Raw genomic sequence first — 12,505 nt, 5'->3', positions numbered from 1 at the left:
GGCTAGCCCTCTGTAGCCTGCACCCACTGTCTAACCAGTCACAGTGAGATGAGCTGGGTACCTCAGTTGGAAATGCAGAAATCACCCGCCTTCTGCGTTGATCTTGCTGGGAGCTGCAGACCGGAGCTGTTCCTATTTGGCCATCTTGCCAGCCACCACCTATTTATTTATTTATTTATTTTTTGAGACAGAGTTTCACTCTTGTCACCCAGGCTGGAGTGCAATGGTGTGATCTCAGCTCACTGCAACCTCTGCCTCCCAGGTTCAAGTGATTCTCCTGCCTCAGCCTCCCAAGTAGCTGGGATTATAGGCACATACCACCACACCTGGCTAATTTTTGTATTTTTATTAGAGACAGGGTTTCACCATGTTGGCCAGGCTGGTCTCCAAACCCTGGCCTCAGGTGATCCTCCCACCTCGGCCTCCGAAAATGCTGGGATTACAGGCTTGAGTCACTGTGCCTGGCCATATACTATTATTTCTGTATAAAATGAAGATACTGATTATTTTGAGGATTAAATAAAATAATGTGTGAAAGCATCCAAATAGAAATAAGAACAATGAAGATCAGACTCCTCTTAATGATGAATAATCCCATTAAGTTTTAATATCATGTAATATGCGTAGTATTTATTTTGTCAAATAGTTTAAAATAAAGAATAGAAGTGTCATCCATTAGAATAGGGACCCAAAGCCAAAGGAAACTTATTTTTAAATTGCTCAAGAAAGATAACTGAAATCCTACAATTCTATACCAGACTAGACCATCTTTCAAGAGAGAAAGGCAAATAAAGATACTTTTAGACCAAGAGATTTTTACCATACACAGAATGCCCCCCCAAAGAAACTGTACCCAGATGAAAGTCATGGCATGAAAAAAAATCATAGTATGCACAGAAATTGGCAAATATATGGGTCAATCCAAGTGGTCACTAATTTTACTTAAAAAGATAGCAATAAACTGGGGGACAATACAAGGTGAAAATGTAAACATCAGTAACATGGAAGGCTATGTGGCAGTTAGAAATCAGATATAAACATCTTAAAGTTCTATAATATTCAGGAGGATTGCAGAGATATTAACTAGAGAATTTGGTAAGTTAAACAACTATCATAAAAATTTAAGGGAAATACAACAACAATAGAAATAGGATATAATAATCCTAAAGCAGTCAAGGGAATAAAAGGAAGCAAATAAAATCTCATCAATTCAATAGAAGGCAGGAAACTTGTCAAAAAAATTAAAAAGCATAGTATGTTAAAAACAAACACCAAATGAGTATGAATAATCAAACATAAATATTCACATTAAATGTAAATACTTAAACACACTGGTTAAAACATATTAATTATTGTGCTGCAGCTATACCAAGGCAACCACATTTCTGATATTTTAATACCACTGATTATTTTTACCTATTTCAGAACTTGAGTATGTACTCTATTTTGAAGGCTTCTTCCATCTAGCATTGTTTTTGAAATCCATTCACATTGTTGCATGTATCAGTAATTTATTCCTTTTTTTTCACCATACTGAGTAGTATTTTGTTGTATGATTAGACCATAGTTTGTCAACCCATTTGCTTATTGATTGGCACTTGGGTTATCTCCAGTGATTGGCTATTATGAAAAGACTGCAATGGACATTCTTGTATAAGTCTCTTTCTGAAGACATTTTCATTTCTATTGGGTACATACATAGGAGCATAATTGATGAATTATAGGTATATGGTATATGCTTCGTTTTATAAGAAATTGTTAGCCCCTTTCCCAACGTGGTTGTACCATTTACATTCTTACTGGGAATGTAGAGACTTACTTCCCATTCTTTTGAATATTTGGTGCTATCAATCTTTTTAATTTTCAGCATTCTGGATGATGTGAAACTCTTGTGGTTTACTTTGCACTTCCATAGCGACTACTGATGTTGAACATTCATGTGTTCATGAGCTTATTGGTTATTTGTGTATCTCCTTTGGTGAAGTGCCTGTTTAAATCTTTTACTAATCTGGTTCTATTCCAAACTTGTCTCAGTTGATTCTGTTATATTTTAGATTAGGACTCATTTTTCTGGTTTTTTTTTTTGGACATAGAGTTATTTGGGATTGTATCTGGACATGGTGGATGTAATGTTGTGAAGACTGTAGCATCTGTTACTTAAACATGTTGATGTTTTTGTTTTAACAGGTAATCAAGTTGATTTTACTCAAATGAGACGTTCTGTCTTGAATCTTATTTCAGCTCTTTATTGTGGCTGGGCTTATTAAGTCTTCCCCATGCATGCAGGGCTTGGGGCAACCAGAATTAGGGCAGAGTGTATGTTGCCCAGTTCATGGCTTTTTCTCTCTAGCTTTCTCTTTTTCAGGTTTCCCTGCCATTTTAAAGTGGTTACACTTGTCACTGCAATTTTCTATCAGAGTTTTATCTTATGCAGCATTGACTGCCCTTGGGCTAAAAGCCGTAAATGTGAACAACTCTGCAGGGTGAGATGTTAGAGCCCTGGCAGTGGAAAGTGGTTGGTTCACAGGTGGTAAGAAGAATTTACTGACAACAGTATAGGTTTGAAAAGGCAAGTGTCATTAGAAGGAGAAAACTCTGCAGAAGAGTGCGACTCTTCTGGGTGCGTCTGAGTGCGACTCAGCAAGAGAGGACTGAGCACACTGTAGTGGATTTTTCTTTAGAGGTATGTATGGACCTTAAAGCAGGAGTTTAAGGACAATTTGGACCTTATTAGTCCTGTAGGTCATGATAAATGATTATATTTGTAGGCATTTTTGTGCCTTGATGTCAGCAAAGTTTGCACAATGAGTTTCGCCATGCATGCATTCCTGAGATGTATAGAAATTCTAGTTATTTATTAATTTGGGGGAAAGAAGCCTGGTACCAGATGCCTGCTTTAGATAATAGGGAAGTCTAATTACTTCTAAATTCTTCAGATAAGGAGTTTTGCCTCTGGATGGTTTGCTTGATAGCCACCAGATGATCTTTGCTCTTCTCCAACTCAAGCCACCAGATGATCTTTGCTCTTCTCCAACTCAACTCATAATTTTCCTTTTTCTGAGTTTCAAATCCATCCTGAATCTGTCTGCTTTTTACATTGACTAATGTTTGTTTTATGTACTTTGTCCATATCCATATCCATTATACTGTTATATGCATTAGAGTTAGGAGCTTACACGGCCATACTGGAAGTGATCATCCTAAATTTCTTTGGAAAACCATTTATGGCATGCCAAGAAAAATTTCATGTATCAGAAACACTTATGAAGTCCAGTTTAATAAAGATCTACAGGTAATATAAAAGAAGCTTACCCTCCTCCCTATGTCATTTTTTTAATACTGTAAATTTAGATTTTTATGCTTTTTAAACAGTAAGGCACACAAGTGATGCCATTCAGGTAGATTGTTAGATGGAGAAGGAGGATCCTCTTCCCATGACTGAGTTCCATACAACAGCCTCTAGAAATAAGTGATGAGAGGTATTAATAAAGCTAGCATTACTTTCTCTCTCAAGTTAGGATTTTACAAGGGTGCCCATTATTCTTAGCCTCAGTTTTAAAATAATACGATATACATTATTTTAAAAGTATTTTATGTAGTATTTATCATGTATTATTTAAAGTATTTTTATGCATTATGGGAATTACCTATGCTTCCATAAAAACTCTAGTTGAAAGAATCTAGTTTATGGGGAAAATAAAACTAGAGATAATACTATTCACTCTGAACATGACAACCTAAAATTACTACAGTTTTTTTTTTTTTTTGAGACGGAGTCTTGCTCTGTCACCCAGGCTGGAGTGCAATGGCACGATCTCGGCTCACTGCAACCTCCGCCTCCTGGGTTCAAGCGATTCTCCCGTCTCAGCCTCCGAAGTTTCTGGGATTACAGGCACGTGCCACCATGCCCCGCTAATTTTTGTATTTTTAGTAGAGACGGGGTTTCACCATGTTGGCCAAGCTGGTCTCAAACTCCTGACCTCGTGATCCGCCCATCTCAGCCTCCCAAAGTGCTGGGATTACAGGCATGAGCCATTGCACCCGGCCTCAGTTGTCTTTTTTTACAAGTATATTCTTTTTCAAATTTCTTCTAAAATGATCAGTCTGAAAAAAGTTTTTATTCTTGACAATAGTATATGCGTTTTCCCTTATAAAAGTAGCCCTCCTTATTGATACATTTAAAAATTTTCACTTAAATGTCTTCGTCTCTGGTACTGTTGATTTGTTTTTTAAGGTGTGAGTATATTTCTCCCAATTAAGAATTATTTATAGTTTTGAGACATTTGAGCTTTTTCTTTTCTTTCCTTCCTTTCTCTCTCTTTCTTTCTTTTCTTCCCCCCTTCCCTTCCCTCCCCTTCCCTCCCCTCCCCTCCCCTCCCCTCCCCTCCCCTCCCCTCCCCTCCCCTCCCCTTTCCTTTCCTTTCTTTCCTTCCTTCTTTCTTTCAACTCTGCTTTGTCGCCCAGGCTGGATTGCGGTGGCACGATCTTGGCTCACTGCAACCTCCGCCTCCCAGGTTCAAGCGATTCTCCTGCCTCAGCCTCCTGAGTAGCTGGGACTACAGGCTTGTGTCAACACGCCCGGCTAATTTTTTGTATTTTTAGTAGACACGGGGTTTCACCGTGTTAGCCAGGATGGTCTCAATTTCCTGACCTCGTGGTCTGCCCGCCTCGGCCTCCCAAAGTACTGGGATTACAGGTATGAGCCACTGCGCCTGGCCCAAAATTTGTGTTATGTCGAGTTTAACCTTTTTAACATTATGTGTAAGAGATATTTGGAATCAAAAATCAAATATTCTTTCAAGGATGTTACATTTGTAAATGTTTTTAGAGTCTGGTAATACTATCTTCTACTTTTTCAAGCAGTTACTACATTAATAATTGGTATTTCACTGAATTATTTCCATCAGAGGGTATGCCAAATGGAGTTTCCCAAGAAGTAGTATGTTAGTGTAAAATAGGAAACTTACTGCCTGGACCTTAATCAAGAAGGGACTCTGTACAGCAGTAGAATTATATTACTATCCTCTCTTCAACCAACAGCACAATAGAAAACATTGACTATGATAGAGTCTGCAAAAAAGATAACAAGCACTTAGATAAATTTTGAGACAGAAATTTATTCTGACGTTTTAAAAAGAGAAGGGAAAAATGAAACAAAAGTACTTCCATAGCAATGGACAACATGTATGCAGTAATTTGCAGTACACTCTGAAACAAACCTTCACAAAAATCAATTAATAAAGCATATATTAAAATTGTCTTTGTATTTTCAAATGCAATGACAAATGACTTTCTCCAGACAAATCAAATTCCTGCAAGATGTAGTGACTGATTTCAGCACAGACATTATGGAATGAGAAGCTCATGTCAACATATAAGAGAATCAACAGAACCTGGATTGAAAAGTGTGTGGAAAGAAGATAGTACTGGGAATGTATAGAATATAGTCCTTTAACTACTGGTCTTAGGGTTCCTGCTAGTTATTTAGTCAGAAGGAAGCATACATTTATGTATGAATATACTCCAAAGTAAGTTCATAATATTGCTTTACAGAATGCTTTTTCACATCCAATGCCTATGTATTAGCTATTATTTGCCTCTCATTGATCTACACACTGGGAAAAGATAGCAATAGATAAGGAGAAGTACCTGCTTACAAGGAACTTTTCCTGTAGAAAATAGACAATAAATCCATAGAAAAGATAAATACATACAGCATTTTAAAGGAGTGAAATGCTGTGGAAAAAAAAACATGTTACAACTTTTATAAGACGAATATATTAGACATTTATGCAAAAACTTATTTGAAATGACAGAGGGAACCCTTGGAAGATCGAGGGGAGGAGTGTCCCAGATAGAAGGAATAATAAAGGCAAAGGCTTTGGCATATTTGAGAAACAAGAAGGTAGTGAAATGAGAGTGTAATGAGAGTCTAATGAATATCGTTAGGTGGTAGGAAATGAAGTGGTAAAACTAGGTGGGGTTAAGATTATATGGGTCTGGTATACCATGGTAAGGAATTTAAAACATTTTAAAATCTCTCTCTCACTTTTTTGAGATGGGATCTCATTATGTTGCCCAGGCTGGTTTCGAACTCCTGGGCTCAAGCAGTCTTCCCACTTCAGCCTCCAAAGCAGCTTGGATTACAGGCATGCACCACCATACCAGGCTTTAAAAATTTTTATCCTGTAGATTAATAGATTAGTTATTTTTGTTTTTGTCAAATTCTGAGTTCCATATAATCTAGGAATTATATCTCTGTATAACTGAATTAAGTGAGCCCTGTCTAATCTATTACAGTTATGATTCTGGTCCCCAGAGTGGACAAAATCAGATATGCAACACCCTTAAGGGAATTCTGCCTTAATTTGGCTTATTACTACTTATATGTATTTATATATAACACAGTAATCTACCATAATCCACCAAATGACAATGTTTATTAAACTAAAAAACATTATGTAGAAAAGCAAAATGCAGTTATTTCAAGTACCAATATATTGATTGAAGCACAGAGAAAAATGGTAAGAAGTCCATAAATCAATTTGATGAAAAATATGAGAACAAAAAATTAGAAACGTAAATGCTCCATAGAAATAATTGGGGAGATGACTGAAATGCCTGAAGTAATGCAGAATAGAGGTTAGATTATTGTAATTTAGTTATTAATGAGAAAGGGAACTCCTACAGGCTGGAGAACTTGGAACCTCTCAGATTACATACCTTGTTATTATTATTATTGCCTTAAAATGTAAGAGGATGGAGAGGAAGATAGGACAAAGGAATATATTAGGATTTATTTTGTCGTATGTGGTAAAATCCAGGTCAAATTAGTTTTTCATAAAATGCTAATTTGACTCATAAATAAAATCTGCAACGGTGAATCTGGCTTTAGCTACAGCTGCGTTCAAGAGTTAAAGTGACACCATCAAGCACACTCTGTATCTCAGCTCTGCTTTCATTCTCATGCTGTCCTCACATATTGGCAATGGTTGCCAGTAGGAATTCTGAGTTAACATTCTACCAGTTTAGACACCATTTCAAAAAACAGTGTGTCTTTCTGACAAAGGCAGCATTCCTGGGATGGAGTCTAATTAGTATGGCTCGGGTCACATCCTGCACTATACCAATCACTATGACTAGAGGAATTAGACATCCTTTCTTTCTTTCTTTCTTTCTTTCTTTCTTTCTTTCTTTCTTTCTTTCTTTCTTTCTTTTTTTTTTTTTTTTTTGCCAAGACCTCTTCCATGCTTATCTTTATTTTCAGAGGTTTGGGTCAGCCCCACCATGTACAACATAGACTGAGAGTGGGGGACTTTGGTTCATTAAAAGAAAAATATACATCTTTCTATTAATATATATTATGCAGATCTGTCAATTGGGTGGCAATATTGTGCAGGGATGCTGCACAACAACTATATATCCACTTCAAAGTGACTGAGAAAGGAGACAACAGAAAAGAAAGGAAGAGAAAGAAAATATACGGAGGAGAGGAGAGAGAGTAGCAGAATAGAGAGAGAGGACAAAATCAGAGGAGTAGAGAGAGACACACACATGGCAGGAGAGAGAAGAAAGAGAGACAGACAGAGAGAGAGACTGAGTGAGAGAGAGAGATTCATTTTAATGGACAGCATCAATATTTTTATAGGGCCAGTTTGCAGAACTGCTTACAGCTACAAACCCAGCAGACAAGGCACTATTAAGAAGGTTACATGAGCATGAAAATTCTACGTTGAAAAGAATGGGAATCTAATAGTTGGTTTTGCAAACACACAAGCTCTCGTGACAGTAGGTTTTGCAGTATCTAAATACAAAAGACAAGCTCTCTTGCCCCATTGAGGATATCGCATGCCCAAGGTTTTTCACATTTTCAATAAATGCAGATGTCTGCTCAGGACTTTCTTTACAGCCTCTTTGACCTCTTTATTCCTGAGGCTATAGATGATGGGATTTAACATTGGGCTTACCACTCCATAAGACAGCCCAATAATCTCATCAGATGTATTAGTGTTCTTTGACTTGGGTTTCATGTACATAAAAAGGGCTGAACCGTAGAATAAGATGACCACAATCGAGTGCGCTGAACAGGTAGAGAAGGCTTTCTTTCTTCCCTCAGCACAATTAATTCTCAGGATGGAAGAGAGAATAAACACATAGGAGATGAAAATTAACAGTAGAAGAATCACCAGTGAAACAATATTTGTCACTGTCATGATAAGCACATTGATGGTGATATCTGAACAAACAAGTTTTAGAAGGGCCAAAATTTCACAGGTAATATGATCAATGACATTATTCCCACAGAAAGGCAACATCATTGTCAGAACTGTTTGCAATAGGGAGGTCAGACAGCCTATGATCCAGGACCATGCAGCCATTTGCACATACAGCACTCCGTTCATGATGATGGAGTACCTCAGTGGGTTGCAGATGGCCACATAGTGGTCATAGGCCATCACAGCCAGGAGGACACACTCAGTGGAGCCCAAGCCAAGGGACACAACCATCTGCAGAGCACAGCCAATGAAGGAGATGGATTTTCTCTCAGACATAAATATAATAAGCATTGGAGGAATGGATGAGGATGTGTAACAGATGTCCAAGAATGAGAGGTTTCCAAGAAAGAAATACATGGGAGTATGGAGGCGAGAATCCAAGATGGTGATGATAATGAGGAGGCTATTTCCCAGGAGGATTATCATGTACATGATGAGGCAGAGCAGGAACAGAAAAAGCTGGAGCTCTGGATATTGGGAAAGCCCCACCAGAAAGAATTCAGTCATGGCAGAGTAATTTCTTGTCTCCATGTGTTCTAGGTCACCTGCCTGCTGGGTAGTATAGAAAAGGACATGATTCAGGTAAATTGAAATGTTTGATACATCAAAATCTGTAAATCTGTACATCTACAAATTTTCAATACAAATTTGCTTCCGATATTGTGTTTGATTCTTAGAATACTCTCAGTAAGCAAAACAGTATGGATATTGTACTAGTTTTATTGATTATGAAAATTGAGACATTGAGAAACCCAATATATCTTAGGACTACACAGCAGCACATTCAAAGCTACCAATACTGCCAGAATTATTCTGGGAAGTGTCAAATAAAGTTTAGGAACATGCTGCTTTCAAATGTAGAAAGAGATTTTGAACTTAAAGCTGTTTTTTTGATGAAGCTGGCCTCTATTTAAAAGATTTTATAGACTGCCAGTGACATATCATTTAACCTGGATGTAGCTTTGGTAAGTTGTTTATTTTTCTGAGTTGCAGATAGTTCATAGTAAGCTTGGAAAAAGCAATAATTATTTCTTAGAGTATAGTTAGAATTAGATAAAATATTAGGTGCCTAGAACCTAATGGTTCCAACATGGCATATGTGTGTGTGTGTGTGTGTATGCATATATGTAATATAATTATATTTACCTTATACAAGATATAATATTAAATGTATTTTTATACACATGCATTTTATGAATTATAGTATAATATTTAGATCTACCAATCTTAAAAGGGAAAAGTAGATTTAGCTTTTTAAAGGTAAAAGGTTTAAAGTTTGAAACCACACTTGACAGACTGTGAACATTTTTGTTCTCAGTGGGATATTTCATTGCACTTCTTTCAAAAACCTGTTAGGAGTCTGAGAATCATTGGAGGACTGTTCTAGAAGCTTCCAGAGATTAAGGAGTCTAGGTCCCAGCATGTACAGCTTTTTTTCCAGGCCCTGGGATTCTCTCTTCTTAAGTGTAGTATTACTGCCATTTTACAAAGTAGGAAACAGAGACAAAGAAAAGTTTAAGTAACTTTCTCAAGGTCATACAGATAGTAAATACTAAAGCCAGAATTCAATATCTAGCCATCTGGCTATAGAATCAGCCCTTTTACCCACCATACACTACTCTCTCTCAGTGGTTACTACACAGATTCCACGCAAGAGAAGACTATTACAAAAATGTATCTTCTGTTGGGGTACAGTGAGACAGCAAACATCATTTACTTGTGATTCTGATCATATGTGATGTGATGGAGAACTCTGAAGGCTGGACCACTTACTTTTTCCTGTAGCTTTTGATTGTGGTCTGCTCAGTTTTCTTTTCTTTTCTCTCGCTGTTTTTTTTTTTTTTTTTTTTTTTTAAGACGGAATCTTGCTCTGTTGCTTGGGCTGGAGTGCAATGGCGCGATCTCAGCTCACTGCAACCTCCACCTCCCACATTCAAGCGATTCTCCTGCCTCAGCCTCCCGAGTAGCTGAGATTACTGGCATGCTCCACTACACCTGGCTAATTTTTGTATTTTTAGTAGAGACGGGGTTCATATCATATTGGCCAGGCTGGTGTCGAACTCCTGGCCTCAAGTGATCCTCCCACCTTGGCCTCCCAAACTGCTAGGATTACAGGCATGAGCCACCCTGCCTGGTCTGCTCAGTTTTCTATGTGTAGAAGGCGATTTCACAGCTATGAAAAAAAGCATGATCAAGAATAATGATACAAAAGTCCTTTTCATCACCTTTGCCTTTTTCTTTTCTTTCTTTGTTTTTCTTTTGAGACAGAGTCTCACTCTGTTGCCCAGGTTGGAGTGCAGTGGTGTAATCTCAGCTCACTGCAACCTCCGCCTCCCAGGTGCAAGTGGTTCTCCTGCTTCAGCCTCCCAAGTAGTTGGGATTACAGGCGCATACCACCACACCCAGCTAATTTTTGTATTTTTAGTAGAGATGGGATTTCACCATGTTGGCCAGGCTGGTCTTGAATCCCTGACCTCAGGTGATCCACCCTCCTCAGCCTCCCAAAGTGCTGGGATTACAGGTGTGAGCCACCATGCCCAGCCCACCTTTGCCTTTATCAGTAACATATCAAAAATACCACAGCCCCTGCCCTCACTCTGCAAATCTAAATGCAGCATAGAGTCTTTTGAGAAACTACTCCCATTTATAACATTAGTGCCACATCTTTGAAAACTCAATGTGCTCCATTCGTTTCATATTCATTACATTGATATGTCCAAGTATTGTGTTAAGATGTCTTATATAAAGGGCTGTTTCTCATACATTGTTACACTATTACCACAAGAACTATATCTATGCTGGGCTCTCCTTGTGGAATGAGAATATTTCTTACTGATCTTATTCTGACCCTACAACCACACTTTTGCTTTGGCCTTTTCATATCCAGAGACTTTGAAGACAGGATGAATGCTTACTCTCTGGGTAGTCATAGATGGCAAGCCCTCCTAGCTCCCTGTTGCATAATGATGAAAAATGTAGTATTATGGGGAGACTAGAAGAAACTCAGCATGGTCTTTGCAGACCATTTGGGGCATCAGTAGTGGCTCCAGGGAGTAGTGGAGTACTGGCTCCAGGGAGATGAAGGGAAAAAGTTTCTCCATTCCCTTTCCATATCCTTTGTCTTCCTCTTAGAGAGTACTACCTACACCATGATTTGGGAGGAGATTAAAAAAAATTAGATGATACCAATGTGTTGGTATGTTGGAAAATATTCCCTTTGTCTTGCACTTCTTTTTCCTGTCTCTATCTACATTGGCATATGGATTTGTTCCCACAAAGTGGGCAGTTACGGTAGCCGTTTTAATTAGATAGAGCATAGCTGTTTTGAAGTAGAGGAAAGTGGAAGGAAAGAAGAGGTGGAGAAGAAACAAATTTGTGCTAGCATAGAAAGAACACTAAACTTACCACTTGTATCTTGGGCGATGGTGTTGTGCTAAACCCCTATTAATCTCAATAGGGGCGGCACCAGGTGCAAAAGGCCAAGAGACCCAGAGTCAGCAAATGAGACATGGGGTTTATTAGGGAATTACATACAGGGAGAGAGTCCAGGGGTGGTGGGCTGGACAGAAAAACCACAACTACCTGTAAAATCATGCAGTTTTATATGGCATTTTCACTTAATCCTCTCCTTAACAACCTCCACCTGGCAACCTTCATCCAACCAAAAGCTTAGGGACCCAATTCCCTGCACGGCCCATGTTTGGGACAGGCTGTTTATCACAGAGAAAGAACAAATCTCTGGGTTGGCTACTCCTAGATTCCCTAGATCAGAACACACATTCGGGTGCCTCTGTCATTACAGTGTCATTCTAAGGGTATGCTTTATGTGTTTACCCTATAGGTGGGGATGTCGAGGATACAAAGATGAAGGAAGAAGAATGGCTGTCTTTCTTTCTATTCAGAAAAGATCCCAGGTGAAGAAGTCCATGTTTCAGAATTTATTTTAAATTTTAATTTATTCTTTTCAGCTTATATGTGTTAGTGAAATATTTCAGGATTTAGATCAAAACAAGAGAAAGGGAAACGGTAACTTCGCCAAAGACACTGAATCAACCCATTACACAGGCCTATCCTAACCTATTAGGTATCTTTCTCCAATTCATACCATGTCTCCTCCCATGACTGTGTTAAGGAGGAATTATTAGGAGGACTTTGTTTCCCCATGATCGCCATCAGTCTCCTCACAAAAGACATCCTAATAGAGAAATACAACTTAAAGGAAAATATGT

The 12,505-nt window shown here is 38.3% G+C and overlaps 1 protein-coding gene and 1 long non-coding RNA gene across 2 annotated transcripts in view; one reads left to right on the top strand and one right to left on the bottom strand.

Annotated features, from left to right (window-relative positions):
* LOC107987105 (uncharacterized) overlaps positions 1-12,505 on the top strand; it is a 217,429-nt gene that overhangs the window by 44,315 nt on the left and 160,609 nt on the right. Inside the window, exon 2 of the long non-coding RNA XR_007061705.1 lies at positions 12,118-12,190. This is a non-coding gene — a long non-coding RNA (uncharacterized LOC107987105). The remainder of the gene's footprint in view (positions 1-12,117; positions 12,191-12,505) is intronic.
* OR13D1 (olfactory receptor family 13 subfamily D member 1) lies at positions 7,863-8,807 on the bottom strand. Its single transcript, NM_001004484.2, has one exon. It carries the CDS (start codon positions 8,805-8,807, stop codon positions 7,863-7,865), a length of 945 nt encoding a protein of 314 aa, NP_001004484.2.

This window comes from Homo sapiens, chromosome 9 (genome assembly GCF_000001405.40).
Source record: "Homo sapiens chromosome 9, GRCh38.p14 Primary Assembly".
NCBI lineage: Eukaryota > Metazoa > Chordata > Mammalia > Primates > Hominidae > Homo > Homo sapiens.
The sequence above is the reverse complement of the archived record's forward strand: the minus strand, read 5'-3'. Positions and strand labels throughout refer to the sequence as shown.

Coding starts and splice junctions, on each gene's coding strand:
- OR13D1 (NM_001004484.2), bottom strand. CDS start 8,807: ATGGAGACAAGAAATTACTCTGCCATGACTGAATTCTTTCTGGTGGGG.